Source organism: Homo sapiens, chromosome 6 (genome assembly GCF_000001405.40).
Source record: "Homo sapiens chromosome 6, GRCh38.p14 Primary Assembly".
Taxonomy (NCBI): Eukaryota; Metazoa; Chordata; class Mammalia; order Primates; family Hominidae; genus Homo; species Homo sapiens.
In genome coordinates, this window is record NC_000006.12 from 139,160,184 (window position 1) to 139,176,359 (window position 16,176).

At 42.9% G+C, this 16,176-nt stretch overlaps 2 protein-coding genes across 6 annotated transcripts in view, besides 4 other annotated features; one reads left to right on the forward strand and one right to left on the reverse strand.

The window, feature by feature from the left end:
• The window catches only part of HECA (hdc homolog, cell cycle regulator), a 45,723-nt gene that overhangs the window by 25,104 nt on the left and 4,443 nt on the right, over positions 1-16,176 (forward strand). Inside the window, exons 2-3 of the mRNA NM_016217.3 lie at positions 6,101-7,141; positions 14,202-14,356. Of these exons, the coding sequence (NP_057301.1) occupies positions 6,101-7,141; positions 14,202-14,356 (1,196 nt within the window). The remainder of the gene's footprint in view (positions 1-6,100; positions 7,142-14,201; positions 14,357-16,176) is intronic.
• The window catches only part of TXLNB (taxilin beta), a 164,789-nt gene that overhangs the window by 1,022 nt on the left and 147,591 nt on the right, over positions 1-16,176 (reverse strand). For 3 of the 5 annotated variants that reach the window (XR_007059216.1, XR_007059219.1, XR_007059218.1), the window contains one exon: positions 6,923-10,381. The gene's annotated coding sequence lies outside the window, so the exon portion shown is untranslated. Of the gene's footprint in view, positions 1-6,922; positions 10,382-16,176 lie in introns of those variants that run through there. The other 2 variants (XR_007059220.1, XR_007059217.1) reach the window with 2 other exon arrangements.
• Positions 3,383-3,882: an enhancer, noted in NCBI's record as "H3K27ac hESC enhancer chr6:139484703-139485202 (GRCh37/hg19 assembly coordinates)". NCBI's record gives its function as "activates a minimal SCP1, AML or CMV promoter by ChIP-STARR-seq in naive H9 embryonic stem cells {active_cell/tissue: H9 hESC(naive)}" and the evidence as "EXISTENCE:reporter gene assay evidence [ECO:0000049][PMID:30033119]".
• Positions 12,472-12,601: a silencer, noted in NCBI's record as "silent region_17608". NCBI's record gives its function as "represses an Ori minimal core promoter by ATAC-STARR-seq in GM12878 lymphoblastoid cells {active_cell/tissue: GM12878}" and the evidence as "EXISTENCE:reporter gene assay evidence [ECO:0000049][PMID:35858748]".
• Positions 13,269-13,318: an enhancer, noted in NCBI's record as "active region_25167". NCBI's record gives its function as "activates an Ori minimal core promoter by ATAC-STARR-seq in GM12878 lymphoblastoid cells {active_cell/tissue: GM12878}" and the evidence as "EXISTENCE:reporter gene assay evidence [ECO:0000049][PMID:35858748]".
• Positions 15,259-15,328: an enhancer, noted in NCBI's record as "active region_25168". NCBI's record gives its function as "activates an Ori minimal core promoter by ATAC-STARR-seq in GM12878 lymphoblastoid cells {active_cell/tissue: GM12878}" and the evidence as "EXISTENCE:reporter gene assay evidence [ECO:0000049][PMID:35858748]".

Below are 16,176 nucleotides of genomic sequence, written 5' to 3' on the forward strand. Positions count from 1 at the left end.
AATAGAAGCTGGGTACTGACTACTTGATGATGAACCTAAAATACAGGCCTTGGAAGGTTTATATACTTTTTTAAACAATGCCAACTCTGTGTAAAGGAGCATTTTTCTGTTTTGCTTGTTAGATTATCACAGTTTAGATTAATGCGCCAAGGGAAGTTGGTGGCACAAGTGTATGATACCCTTCTCCCATCTCTCCTGTTGAAGATTTAATTGTGTCAGATCAATCTATATTCCATTTATGCCTTTGTGGGACTGCTGTTCTGTTTTTAGTTTGGAGACAAGGTTTCACTCATTGCCGAGGCTCACTGCAGCCTCAATTTCCTCGACTCACTTGATCCTTCCACCTCAGCCTCCTGAGTAGCTGGGACTATAGGCACATGCCACTGAGCCCAACTAATTTTTTAAAATTTTCATGGAGACGGAGTCTCACTATGTTGTCCAGGCTGTTCTCTAACTCCTGGCCGCAAGTGATTCTCTGGCCTCAGCCTCCCAAGTGCTGGAATTACAGGCGTGAGCCACTGTGCCTGGCCATACTTACTTATTTTCTAAACACCTGTATGGCATGTTCAAAACATTGGAAAAAGTAGAAAACATTGGAGCAGTTTGCATTTATCTGGGGAGTGAAATACAGCGGTATAAAATTATGGTAGCATATAAGCAAACATTTTTATGAAACTTTACTATTTATAAAGTGTTTTCATGTACATGAGCTGAATAGGGCAAGCATTTTATCCCCACTTTACAGATGAGGAAACAAAACTGCTCAATGTCAAACAACTAATCAGGAGCAGACCTGGCATCAGACACCTCTCTTCTGTTATTCCCTGCTGCTTTTCCAGTTTGGACAATGTGTGTGTGTGGTGTGTGTGTGTCGGGGACAGGGGTGGTGCTAATGAGGGAGGAAAGTATGTTTGAACCGAGCCTTGAAGGAAATAATGTCCGAGTTTAGAGGCCAACACACTTCAGCAAAAGCATTGTCAGACATCCTCTGACTATTCCCGAGGTCCACCCTGTTACCCCATTTTGCCTGTCTCCCTGGGAGCCTCACCCTGCTGGTGTGTCATAGGGTGAAGTGTCTGTTGTGTGTATTACTGGGTGTATTTAACATGCTCTTGGCTTTGTATTTGTTTTTGAAGCCTACCCACAAGGCCACATCAAAGTGGCTGACTATAAACAAGCAGGGCTGGCAAGTTGGAGTGGGGGCTCTTCATACAAGGAAGAGGTTTTCTGGTTAGGAAACAGTGGAGCATGGCTGTGAACATGACAAACACTGTTAAAGGGACAGGGATGGGGCACAGCTGTGGTACCTTGTCTGTGTTCCATGTGTGCACTTCTGTTAGACCATTAGAGCTCTTAGCTCAAGACCTGGCATGTAGGAAGTGCTCAGTATTGGTTAAATGAAATATTTGCTGCTTTTTGAAAAGACACAGAATTTTTCCTCTCTTAATCCACCTTTCTTTAGTGTGAAAATACTTTTCAAAGAAATATCAAGTCAGTCTCAACATTTACAGTTGGAATATTGTGAATGCAAATGTTAGTTAGATCTTCCTTTGACCTAATTTGATTTTATTGGTCTTGGGTTAGTAAAATTTGGTTATTGTGGTTACATTTCAGGGACGTTTACTTCAAGGCTCTTCATCTGAAGGATCAAGATAAAAACAACTACACTTAATAATTGACCAATTAACATTTTAAAGGCCTCTAAAGGTCACAGCCCAGGTGACTGGTGAATTTACTCAGTTTCAAACCACTCTTCTACTTCTTTTTGTTGTGCTTCAGTACATCCAGGTCTGACTGTCTAGGATTACAGCTCTCTTTTTCACTTCTGCTCCTCTTGTCATGTGTGGGTTTGGTGAGCCAGTATCTTTAATGCGACTTTTTTCAGCACTGGAGTTTTACAAAGCCTGGGCCCAGTGGTGCCGGAAACACTAAGATGAGTAAGAGGCTTCCTCTCCTGAGTCGTCAGCTGGTGGGGATTATGAAGAGTCCCCATGATGAGGGACTCAAGTAAGATTGGGGCCAGACCATCAGGGAGGGGAGGAGAAGGGTTGGAGTCAGGATAGGGGGGCAATCCTGGTAAAATTGGTATGTAGAGAGGTGGGCCTTGAAGCAGTAGGAGTGGGGAGGAAGTTTACTAGATGCCAGGTGCTTTCTCAGCATTTCATGTGTATAGTTTTTTTCATTTCATTCTTCTGAACCATTTAAGGTACATTCTGTTGTTTTCTGCATTTTATACAGAGGAAACTGACACAAAGAGAAGTTAAGTAAGTTGTCCAAGAGCATGCAGCTCATAAATGGTCCTGCCTGGATTCCAACTCAGGCAGTCTGGTTGCAGAGTCTGAACTGTGAATTGCTGTCAGTGGCTGAATGGGATTTGGACAAATGAAGATTAAGGGGAAACCACGGTGATCAAATATTAATACATAGAGGTAGACAAATTGGTTTAGGGCCATTTTGCCAAGGCCCTGGAATCCCACACCTGAAGGGGATAATTGTAACATATGACAGAACTAATATTTGTATAGGCTTTATGGGTCCACATTGCCACCACCCTCTGCTGATTGATTTGGTGGAATGTTGTGTCTGTGGTTCAGTGTGCAGGGATAAGGTTGGGAAGGTTGTTGAGTAGAGGAGTCACATGGTTTGTTCCCTCTCATATGTCTTTAAGCTGTCGTGAGGTTTTGGCCTGTATTCCCTGAGCTCATGAACATGGTGTTAAGGCTCAGCCTCTGCTGTCTTCTGTACCCTGCCCATGCTCTTTCCCTGCCCTACAGTTACCCTCTGGAAAGAGTTTCCTGGAGTCTCCCTGTTTCTGCCTTTTCACCTCACTGTCTACCTCTGACCTGCCCTCCATCATTCCCGCTGGAGCTGTTCTCCGTGAGGAGACAGTGCCTGGCTCACTGCTCATTTTGGCTGGGACTTTTCAGGTTTATTGCATCCAGTGAATTCTTAACTCGGGGTGATTTTACCCCCTAGGGGATACCTGGCAGTGCCTGGAGACATTGAGTGGGGCTGGCCTCTACGGGATGGACAGTGAGGTTGCTGCTAGCTGCTAGACATCTTACAGGATGGCTCCCACAACAGAGATCCAGCCCAAATGTCTGTAGTGCAGAGGTGGAGAAGCACCGATGTTACCTGGTGCTCTGGGACATTTTGCAGTTCTCCATTCTTTTTTTTTTTTTTTTTTTTTAAAGGGAGTCTCACTGTGCCACTCAGGCTGGTGTGCAGTGGCACAATCTCTACTCACTACAACCTTCGTCTTCCAATTCAAGTGATACTCCCACCTCAGCCTCCCGAGTAGCTGGGATTACAGGTGTGCGCCACTACACCCAGCTAATTTTTGTATTTTTAGTAGAGATGGGGTTTCATCATGTTGGCCAGGCTAGTATCGAACTCCTGACCTCAGGTGATCCACCCGCCACGGCCTTCGAAAGTGCTGGGATTACAGGCGTGAGCCACTGCGCTGTCCCCTGACTGCCTGGACATAATTCTCTCCTGACTTGTTTTTCAGTAAATTCTGAGTTCATTTCTTACCAATCTCTGCAGGGGAATCTTCTCCTCCAGCCTTGGTTCCAGTCCTTGCATCCCAGGATTCTTTTCCTGGCCTCTGGTCTCTGCCCACTCCTCCCGTTTTTCTTGGGCATCTCATTAGTCCTAGGGATTTGACCTTCATCTGTGGGTGAGTGACTCCACATCTGTATTCACAGCTCTAGCTCTCTTGAGCTCCAGTCAAATTCATGTCTCCTCCACCTCAGTGGTACACAGGCACTTCTAAATCAGTGGGTCCTAAATAGGGCAGCCCTAAGTCTTTTTCCATCTTCCCTGTCCTGCTGTTCCCACATTGCTGTCCGTCAGCATGGACTCTCACACACACACACACACAAACACACACACACACTCTCTCTCTCTCTCTCTCTGAGCATCTTCTCACACTGCTCCTGAAGCACAGGCACTCCTTATTTCTCAACCCACAGCACCCTCCCTCTGGCCTCCTTACTTCCAGTCCCGTGCCCCACGCTGCCACCAGGGGAGCTTTCTAGAGCAGAACTCTGAGCCTGGGAGTCTGCCTTTAGCTTCTGTCATCTATACACATAATCTAAACTGCTTCATGACCAAGCCCAGTGGTTCCCAATTGGGAGAGTAGTATTTCCCTCCAAAGGGGCCCTTTGAAAGTGTTATGAACATTGGGGGTATCATGATGGGGAAGGTGGGGTGGGTGGGCTACAGATACTGAGTGCTCAGGCCTAGTGATGTTTGCTTCCTGTAGTGTGCTGGACTGGGCTGTCCAGTGCATTACAGGAAGAGAATTGTCCAGATGCCAGTAGTGCCCTCATTAAGAATTGGCGATGTAGTTTTTAGCTTCTGCCTAGAGGATGAGGAGAGAAATGCTGAGCACTGGTCCTGGAGAGTACTTATTTTGGGGATTGGGAGGCAAAAGAACTGCATGGTATAAAATCCTACGGAAATGCAAGCAAGAATGTAAGGGAGTGATGAATTGTATTGAAAATTGTAGAAATGCCAAGACACAAGTGGGGAAGGCTGTTAGTTGTGTGACTCCCTGAAGCACCCTTGTCATCCCAGCCTGTAAGCCACACTAACCTCCCCCCCACCGCCCCCCACCGCTCATACAACCGGCAGCCACTCTTTTGGGCCTGTGGCAACAGGTTTCCTTCCTTGGTCCTGCACTATGAGACTCTCAGTCTCCCAGTTTGGCCCCACATTTGGTCAGTTTTGCCATCTCTACATTAGCCCCTTCCACCTCTGGCCACCTTATTACACAGCTTCTTTTGTAAATAAAAATATCCCAAGCTGTGTCACAGTCAGCTAACGACAAGAACAGCAGCAACAACATTAATGATCCTTTATGTGCCAGGTACTGTGCTAAACTCTTTATAAGCATTTCTTATTTAATCTTCAAAAAATCTCTATAAGGTAGCTACTACAATTATGCCCATTTATGGTTGAGGAAATGGAAGATTAAACAGATGAAATAACCAGTTCACTTTTACACGGCTAGTATCCCATGGAACCAGGACTTATACATACATGTCCTTTTATTTCTCATTTTAAAAAAACAGATTTTATTTTTTAGAGCAGATTTAAGTTCACAGAAAAACTGGAGGTATAGAGTGTTCCCATATACCTCCTGCCCTCCTCCAGCCTCCCCCACTGTGAATACAGAATGGTACATATGTTACAATTGATGAACCTACATTTACACATCATTGTCATTTAATTTCATAGTTGACATTAGGGTTCCCTTTTGGTATTGTACATCCTGTGGATTTTGACAAATGTATAATGACGTGTATCTGCCATTATAGTATCACGGGAATAGATTCACTTCCCTAAAAATCCTCTGTGCTTCACCTGCTCATCCCCCACCCCCTGTGGCAACCACTTTTTTTTTTTTTTTTTACTGACTCTATCATGTCTTTTTGACATTTTAGAAATAAATTCTAAGCTCAGATGTTCAGTTATCATTGAATAGCTGTAAGGAATCAGTGGAGTTCCCATATCCATGAATCATGTTTATTTCTTAAGAATTGGGTTAGCGGATTCTACTTTCTGTCACCATGTTTTCTGTCCTTTCTGGGAACCGGCTTGGCTGTTTGCACAGTGTGGGACATGTGTGGGACATGTACTTAAGATAGAGTACAACTATGTTGTTCCCACTTCCTGTCCTGGTAGCTTTGGAAGAATTCTGGTTTTTTCCTTCACAGCCTGGCTTTGTAATTTTGTGTAGACCAACAATTAGTTTGATTCAATATCCCTGCCATTGGGTGTCAGACCACCTTAGACGAGAAATCGGTATGAGACCGTCTATGTTCCAGCGGCTTTCTGGTATTCAGGACAACCTAAAGCTCAGGATGAAGGGCGTTGAAGGTCCTTTTTAGAGATTCCACCAGACTGGTTGGTTAAGTAGCTTCATCATATTATTCCCTGGTTCACTGGAGTGATTCATCTTTAAAGGAACCCTGGAACTGCCTTTCATTATATTCATGTCTTAGAAAAACCTTATACCATACTGTTGCAAGTACAGGTTGAGTACCCCTAATCCAAAAATCTGAAATCTGTTCTCTCTTTATTCCTCCCCCAGAAGCCCCATGTGCCACTCCCCTGATCTGCAGCTTCGGTAGGCCGGTGGACCTGGAGAAGGACGACTACCAGAAGGTGGTGTGCAACAACGAGCACTGCCCCTGCAGCACCTGGATGCACCTGCAGTGCTTCTACGAGTGGGAGAGCAGCATCCTCGTCCAGTTCAACTGCATCGGCCGCGCGCGCAGCTGGAACGAGAAGCAATGCCGCCAGAACATGTGGACAAAGAAGGGCTACGACCTGGCCTTCCGCTTCTGCTCTTGCCGCTGTGGCCAGGGCCACTTGAAGAAGGACACAGACTGGTATCAGGTGAAGCGGATGCAGGACGAGAAAAAGAAGAAGTCTGGCTCCGAGAAGAACACAGGGAGGCCTCCTGGTGAGGCGGCGGAGGAGGCAAAAAAGTGCAGGCCCCCAAATAAGCCCCAGAAAGGCCCAAGCCACGACCTCCCCCGCCGGCATTCCATGGACCGGCAGAACTCCCAGGAGAAGGCAGTGGGTGCCGCAGCCTACGGTGCCCGTTCCCCCGGTGGCTCCCCGGGCCAGTCCCCACCCACGGGCTACTCCATCCTCTCTCCTGCCCACTTCAGCGGCCCCCGCTCCTCCAGATACCTCGGGGAGTTCTTAAAGAACGCCATCCATCTGGAGCCTCACAAGAAGGCCATGGCTGGGGGCCATGTGTTCAGAAATGCCCACTTTGATTACAGCCCTGCGGGGTTGGCAGTTCACAGGGGGGGACACTTCGACACCCCCGTGCAGTTCCTTCGGCGGCTGGACCTCTCCGAACTCCTCACTCACATCCCCAGGCATAAGCTGAACACTTTCCACGTGCGCATGGAAGACGATGCCCAAGTGGGCCAGGGGGAAGACTTGCGGAAGTTCATTCTGGCCGCGCTCAGTGCCAGCCACAGAAACGTGGTAAACTGTGCCCTGTGCCACCGGGCGCTCCCGGTGTTCGAACAGTTCCCACTGGTGGATGGAACTTTGTTCCTAAGCCCGTCGAGACATGATGAGATCGAATATGATGTTCCTTGTCACCTTCAAGGTATAGGTGTTAATTCACCTTGCCTGCTTTCTGTTTGTTAAAAACCAAACAACAAACAAGACAGATTGCTCTATTTTGGTGTAGTTTTCACCAGTGTTGTTTTTTTGTTCTAGTCAGGTGCTAGGTAACATTTGAATATTTCAGCTTCGCCCAGTGACGCGGTGATTTTTTACTCTGATGTCACAGTACCAAGTACAGTTGTCCTAGCGGATAATTTTGTGTGTTCTGTAATTTGAAGAAAGGATTGCCGGTGTATGGTTTTGCATAATGGGGAAGGAAATTAGTGGAGTTGTTGCATATTTGTCACTTACTGTAAACCTGTTTAATGGGCCCATCTAGCTGTGTATCCTCTTAGATCCTTATAAACATAACAGTGAGGAAAAGCAGTGGTCAGAAAAGGGCCAAGGTATTTTTAGATTAGTTGAATTAATTTTGAAGTTTATGAAAGATGAGAGTGTGTTGATAGCAGCAAAAGGTAAACAGGATTATTGAAAGCTCAGACATTAGCCCGGTGGTGGTGGTGGAAGGAGGGGCGATGGGGAAGCTTATTATTCCTGTGGATGGCATATAAGGATTTGGTACATTTCAGCCATAAATTGAATGACACGAGGTTGGTTAGTATAAGAAATCTGTCAGTTCATGTACAACTACTGAACTTCCATAAAGATGAGACACATCACATATAACATGTTTACACTTTAAATGTGTGCTAAAAAGCTTGTTGTGAAAATGATATATCCCCACCTGTCTCCTTCCCACCAACCCTGCTGTGTCAGTACCCAGACAAACATTTTCAAATCTTAGCTGATGCTTCAAGTTTTTGACATCGTGATTGTAAATACTGCTGTCTTCATTCTCCAGCTTTACATATTATCTGTTTATTGACTGGCTTTGAAGGTGGATGACTGTGCATCCCCCTCCTCCTTCCTCTCAGGATAAGATACCACAATTATTAGTTAAATCCTTAATGTTTACTAATGTGAATATATATATTTAATATTGAGCCAAGAAGTATAGGGTTTTATCTTATTATATAGTACCATATAGTCTAGGACTCCTTTTGTTTTTATTAGGGTTAATTGATTATTTTGATTTGCATAGTTTTTTTTTTTTTTTTTAACTTTGGCTAGTTCTCACTCTCCAGCAGCTTTACAAACCATCTTTCAAAGACATTTCCACATACCTGTCAGATTTTTTTTGGAAAAAAAATTTTTGCCCCTGAAAATGCCCCTCGTGGAGACTCTTACCCTCCTGCTTCTACCTGTCCTGGTGCACTCAGGACCTGGTGTACCACATAGCTGTCCTTCTAGGAATGCCTTCATTTCTGTCCTATTTTTAAAAATCTTGTTTCCTAGATCTCAATATTTTATTTTTTTCTCGGTTTATTCTCTCAGCTTTTAGGAAACATCCCCCAGGAGCTTTTTGAGAAAGGGAGCATGGGAATAGATGATTTGAGACTTTCAACGTCTGAGAATATCCTGATTTAATCTTCACTCTTCTTTGCTATTTAGCTGGCTGTAGTCTTCTAAGTTATACATATTTTCCCCTTGGAATTTTGAAGACATTTCTTTACTGTCTCCCATCTTACAATGTCACTATTTTGAGAGGTCTGATGTTACTCTTATTCCTGTCTTTGCCTCCATCTCCACCCCTCCATGAAGGTTTTAAGATTTTCTTCATATATCCCTAATGTTCTGAAATTTCACCATATGTGGGTCTTTTACACAGTTTCCTCTATTTGTCGTGCTTTCTGTACTCTCTTGGCCCTTTGGCTCTATAAACTTACCATCTTCCATTTGGAGAAATTTGTTTTTGTATTATTTCTTTGACAATTTCCGCTACCCTATTTTCACTTTTAAAAAATTCTGTGAAACTCTCATTAATCAGATATTAGACCCCTTAGATTATTTTTTTTGTTGGAGTGGAGAACTCCTTTATTTTATATATAATAAAGGATATATAATAAATATATACATGGCCCTATTCATCTCTTTATTCTGCTTTATGGAAAATTTCCTTGACTTTTTATTTTGGTGTTTTTACGGAGTTACAAATTTTCTGTTCTTACATTTTTAATTTCCAGGAGCTCTTTTTAATAGCATTCTCTTCTTGTTTCATGTATGTAATTTCTTGTGCTACCTTTGTGAGCAAGGAAAGGGAGCTGAAATTGCAGAGAGTAGTCTCTTTCATTTTGAGAATTGTACCTAACTCCCTTTATCTTGTAGCATTTGTTATAAAGCAGAGCATTCCAAAACTTAGTGGTTTAAAAGGATAATTTAATGACTTCTCACAATTCTGTGGGTGGATTGTTAGGTTGGCTTAGGGGGCCTCAGCCGGAATGGCTTGTCTGTGTTCCATGTAGTCTTTCATCTTCCAGTAGGCTAGCTTGGACTTTTTCACATGTTGCTCTCAGGATGGCATTCAAGAGATGTAAGTGGAAGCTGCAGAGTCTGTCTCTAGAGGCTTAAGCTTGGAACTGAGTAACATCACTCCTGTCACATTTTGTTCATCAGTATAAGTCCTAAGTCTAGCCCAGGTTCAGATGATGCTGAAATACTCTGCTTTTTGATGGAAAGTGCTGCATAGAATTTATGGTTGTTTGTAACTTATTGCTCCCTGCGAGCTCCCTACAAACTCCCCGGTGCTTGTCCAGTTTCTGAGCTTAACCATTTACTATCCCTCAGTCTACTTTCTGACTTCATATAGTTTAATTCAGGGTTGAAATAACCTCATTGTTTCATGGAAGATGGAGTTTGTGTTTTTGTTTTTTTATCCTGTTTGGGGGTAATTTTAGAGGGAAGTGGATGGAAACACCTTTATTTCTCCATTGTAAAACTTGAAACATTTTTTATGAAGATGAATATGGGTACAGCAGATATGAGAATAGTAGTGTTCTTTTTCTATCCATGATGGACAGATTATTGTCATGTAATCCATTCATCAGTTCATCAAACTTACGGATATCACACATGCTGGGTACTATCAGTTCTTGCTTGTCATCAATTTATAATCTTAGGATAAGATGCTTTTATAAAATGTAACTAACTTACCAGGCTTAAAGTTCTAGTATCATACCTGGATATGATGTACATTAAGTATCCTATAATTTCCAGAGGAAGGGACCACTTTGGCTTGGTTCGTAAAAAGAGGCAGCATGAATGCTGATGTCAAAAGGTGGACTGGATCTTGGTAAGCAGAGGGTCTACCCAGGTCAGGTGTTTGTTGATGAGGAGGGAGTGCCTGCAAGCAAAGGAAGGGTGGTTAAAAAGAAGAAGGGCAGGTTGCGATGAGGAGCTAGGGAGAGAACTGTTTGGTTGGAGCCAAGGGTGTTCTAGAGTGGGAAAGGAGTAGGATAGGGAGAGAAGGGAGAGAACAGATTGCAGAAGTACTTTCAAGCCATAATAAAGAACTTTGCTATATATTCTTTATGAATGTGAATGGAAAGATTTTCAGTGTTTTTTTAAAGCAGGCAGTCACATGGAGGAAAGGTGCGGGAAAGGGGTTTGAAAGGGGTGGGATCTAGAGACAGAGTTGAGGCTTTGTAGTCTAGATGTAAGGAGATAAAAGGTGTGGACAGAATGGAAGGGAGGGGATATTGTCAAGAGGTTATTTTAAAGAAAAATTACAGCTTGTGAATTTAGAAACAAAATTCACTTTGTTTCTAGACCAGATAAATGGTGCAAGAGTAGAGAAAGGAGATGGGTAGATAAAGGTGGGGAAAGGGCCTGGTTTTGCGGGCAGAAGATGAGGTTTCTGTGTGTTGGGTTTGAAGGGATGTTGGGACTTTTGTGTGGAGATGTCTAGCAAACATGGTTAAAAATAAGCATTTGGGTTGAACACTGGGAGTTTATAACAGTGGTGGTTAAAATCCTAAGGGTGGAAGAGCTCTTGGATAGGAAGAAAAGAGAAAAAAAAGGAAGGAGGATATGATAAACCCACAACCAAATCTTGAGAGTACCTTTCAGGGAGCAGATGAAGAAAGAGGTGAAAATTAGGCCTGAGTACTTGTGTGTGCGTATATATACACATCAAAACATAGACATACATAAATAGATAATGCGCACATTAGATGTGCCCACAAAGATACTGAGAAGTTGAACGTTTGATGTAAAACCTGAAGATCAGGGTGTTTAATTATTACCAGAGAAGTTATCATTGCCACAAGTGAGGCCTTGACCACATATCAGCATTTTTATTGCCACATCTTTGAGAAATCCATGCCGTCTTATTTGTAGTAAGAAAATGTAAATCATGTCTTCAATCACCAATTACTGACCACACATTCTTCTATTTTTCTTTTCTTTTTTCTTTCTTTTTTTTTGAGTATCTCAGTCTGTCACCCTGGCTGGCTGGAAAGCAGCGGAGTGATCATAGCTACTGCAGCCTTGGACTGCTGAGCTCAAGCAGTCCTCCTGCCCCAGCTTCTCCAGTAGCTAGGACTGTAGGCTCAAGCCACCACACTCGGCTTATTTAATTTGTTTAAACTTGTTGTTGTTGTTGTTTGTTGTTGTGTTTTTTTTTTTTGTGACGGGGTTTCACTTTTGTTGCCCAGGCTGGAGTGCAATGGTGCTATCTCGGCTCACTGCAGCCTTTGCTTCTGGGTTCAAGCGATTCTCCTGCCTCAGCCTCATGAGTAGCTGGGACTACAGGCGCCGCCACCACGCCTAGCTAATTTTTTTATATTTTAGTAGAGATGGGGTTTCACCATGTTGGCCAGGCTGGTCTCAAACTCCTAACCTCTGGTGATCTACCCGCCTTGGCCTCCCAAAGTGCTGGGATTATAGGCGTGAGCCACTGCGCCCAGCCCTAAACTTTTTTAAGAGATGGGGTCTCACTGTATTATTGCCCAGGCTGGTCTTGAACTCCTGGCCTCAAATGATCATCCCATTTCAGCCTCCCAAAATGCTGAGACTACAGGCATGAGCCACTGTGCCTAGCCTGATCATGTGTTTTTTAAAGCATTTTCAACTCCAATAGAAGGGCCACACTGCAGGCCACAGGATTGCACAGCATGCGGGGCTGACATGCTGCTGCAGTACTTGCTGTGTTCAGTGGCCCTTTCTGGATTACTACTCCCTCGCCCTGCCCTTTACCACTCACTGCCCTCCCCGGACCCTGTCTCTGGACTTCGTTTGCTCTCTTTCCCTCTGAAAATAGGTTTTGTTTAGCATTAATTTATTAAGATTGATCTAATTAAGAAGTTCTTATTGGGCTTCTTTACCACTTTGAACCACATGTGATTGTTCTCTGAAGAATCGGCTTTTTGTTTAAATTCACAAAGGGTTTAGAAATTCAAAATTCTCTGTGGTCAGGACAATGTGTAGCAGAACTGAAACAAATCTAGACTCAGTCCAGACCAGGTGTTCCAGTGAGTTTGCCTGTAGGTTACGGATCCGAGAGACATGAATCAGTCTGGACTTGCTACTTAAATCTTAAGAACTTGGGCAAGCTGCTCAGCTCTGTAAGCCTCACTTCCTACTCTCAGAAGTGGGAGCAACAGTAATGTCTATTCTGTAATGCTGCTGTTAGGGTTAAATGAAATGATTCACACGGAGCTGGTAGCATAGTGCCATACCCTCGGTTAACTCTTAGTAAAAGTTACTCTGTCTTCATCATTATGGTCATCGTTAGCAACACCTGACTTCTGTGTCTAAGGCTGCCCTTACCCTTCTCAGCTGTGGCCTCTGTACCTGGGAATGTTTGGGAATTGCATTGAGTATGCAGGACAGAGAGTGCAAATGAAATTTTTTCCAGTGGCTCCTGGATCCTTGAACGGACTTCCTAACATGCCCCGAGGCCAGAGTAGATGTGGCATGTGAGACCCTTTTATTTTCAATGCCGTAGAGCAGAGGTGGGGAGTATTTCAAGAAGTTCTTGTCATCCTTCCCCCTTTTGGCATAAAGGCCCCCAAGGTTATCTGTCTTTGGCTGTTAACATGCCCCATCCATTTACCCAACATACACTTATAAAGTGCTTTCCACATCCCAGACACTGTGCTAGTCACTGAGTCTACAAGGATGACTAAGACATGGTTCTTGCCCTCAAGGAGGAAGGGGGTCATGCAAGTAAATGCAAACGAAGGGCTCCCCCTAAGTACTGTAGATGGAACATACATACCTTTCCATCGGGTAAGGAGCAGGTTGATCCTTACTACTGAGTGCTGAAGACCCATAGTCTGACTGATGGCAGTGAGCAGCACATTCTGAATATGAGGCCACTTAGGATTATGTGTTCTCCTGATGGTAGTTTTTAACATGGGGAAGCACCCTGGGTTCCACACAGAGCAGAAATGTTGCTGTTATACGTTGCCTGGGCAGATTCTGGGCATTCTGACTCTTTCCTAATTATTTAAACTGTGATGCTTCCATATACACTAGGATGACATCTTTCCTTTATTAACATTAAGATGTTATCAAATAATGGAGGGGGATCATGTTGTAACTTTTAAGAGCTCGGTGAATAATAAGACATTGAACTTCTTTTAAAAAATTACGAGTAAGATATAATTCTGGTTCCTAAATTAGATGTGGTGATGGCTGAGCATTTTGAGGACAAGGATAGTTAACAGTAATTTTGGTTGTGGTGTAATTCTGGGCTATCAGTCCCCAAGACAGACTTTTGATTTTTATGATGGGACTTGTCACAAGAGAGCTTGTGACAAGATCAGTGGTGTTGGTTAAGTCTCTATATGCTAAACATAAACTTTTGAGCAGGAAGTCCTGCGTGAATACAGTACAGGCTGGTTTTGAGTGTATGTGGCTTTGTTACTTGAATTTGGATGGACCCATTATGTAAGCCCAGCAGCCCTTTTTGGAAAAGTGAATTGAAGCCAAGTTTTTAATATGCTTGAACTTAAAATACATGCTTTATTGACAACAGCTAGTAATTCATCATTATCCTGAAAGGACAGCTTGTGTACTAAATATTGATTTTTCTTTTTATATTTATCCAAATGATAAAATCTTTGCTTATAATTGGTAGATGAAACATTTTTATCTCCTTGGAGATGAAATGTGATTTCCATGATGGCCACTCAGAGCCTTGTGTCTTCTGTGCACAGGGAGACTCATGCATCTGTATGCCGTGTGCGTGGACTGCCTGGAAGGGGTTCACAAGATCATCTGCATCAAGTGTAAGTCACGGTGGGATGGCAGCTGGCACCAGCTGGGCACTATGTACACCTACGACATCCTGGCTGCCTCTCCATGTTGTCAGGTAGGTACTGAACACACTGAGGGAGCAGTGGGTGATATTAGGCTTCTGTCCCCAAGTGAATGTAGGGAAGATGCGTCTGGCAATAAAGAAGAAATTCAGTCCAGCAATGATGGCTGAGTTACTACTTGTAATGTAGTCATTTAGTGGAATACTATTCAGTCATTAAAAGGAATACTGTAGAATAATATATAATTATGTGGGAAGCATTTCCAGTATATTAGGTCAAAAGAACAGGTTATAAAATGGTATAATAATATGCTTGCATTTGTAAGTAAGTGAGCATGAAAAGGGAATTGCTAACCTGTTACCAGATGGTCTCAGTGGTGGGAGGCTGAATGGTTCCTTTAGTTTTCTTTTTCCTTGAGTATATTTTCTAAGATTCTGTATGATTAGCTTATAGTAAATTTCTAATAGAAAAAATGTTATTCAAAAGGAAGAAAGTCACTTTCTTAAATAGGATTTTCTTGTTTTCTTTCTGTGGGATAGTACAGTTATCCAGGAATTGCATGCCTTGTAAGGTGTTTGAGGTTGTAATCCTTAAAGCACTACTAAAAGGAGGCATTGTCTCATGCTATGAGGACATCTGAAATTTAGCTGTCATCAGAAAAAGAGGGAAGTATTCACATATGAAAACACAAATAACCTATAGAATCACAGGAGACAAAATGCTTGGAAATATCTTGCTTTATTTCCAAGTGCTTGGGGAAGAAAACAGCTTGTTAGGTAATTCCTTGATACTCTCATGGGCAGGAGAGAAATTTTTCTTTGCTCTAAAGTGTTCCAGCCTGGTTTTTTAGTACAAATAGCTGATACATACTTCATTAGTTACTGCATAGTTTTATGTCTTTAGCATTATGGCTTGATTTTTGTAAAGAGAGTATCTTTACTATTATCAGTAGTTATTCACTGTGGCATTTTATGATAGTTATTGTGCCTTGATGCCAGCTCTTGAGAGAAACCAGAGGAAGTGGCTCCCCTCTGCACACACACACCGTGGAGGATTATCTTTTAAATTGAAGAAATAAGGAAGTGAAAGAACTTTTGAGCCTGTTAACTCAGAAGATTAGCACTGGAAAGGACCTGGGATCTAGACCGACCTCCTTATTTCCTCATACAATGGAGGCCTACAAACTTGGGATGTTTTACCCAGGTCTACATACATTGTGTCACAGCCATGACTGCACCGTGTGACTCCTGTTCTGGTGTTCTTTCTGGTACACCATTGAAAGGCAATGAGATTATTTCCATGTCTTTAGGAGGAAAAACAGAACAGCATCCTGCCACACCCAGCCTCTTGGTATTCACCATGCACTGTATTTCTTCCTTAAAACAATTGAAGCCCAGACCTTTCTTTTCTGGCCCCCTACTGAAATGGAAAATATGTTCGATTATTGTTAATTTAAAAAAATCAGTGAGGATACAAGTGTTAGACGCTACTAATGAATCAAGGGAAGTCTTCAATAAGATGTAGCCAAAAATAAGCAATAATTGATTCTTAGAAAGGTATAACAGTGTGAAGACGGGTTTGCTCAGAATCACACTTTTAATGTTGTTCAGAGAGATTACGTAGTTAAAAGAGTGTTTATCTCAGGTTACAGAAAAGTAGTTCCTGCAGTGGCTGAGGATCAGCAGGCTGCTTTGGTTCACTCCAGCCTTGCTGCTTTCTAACCATGGTCTTTGGCATGGTGCTTTATCACATGTGCCTCAGTTGCATTATCTAAAAGTCAGCTAATACTACCTACCTCCCAGGAGTATTTTGAGAACAAGTTGAGATTATACTTTTTAAGTACATTTTTAAAATGAGTCTAAATTGAGTCTGT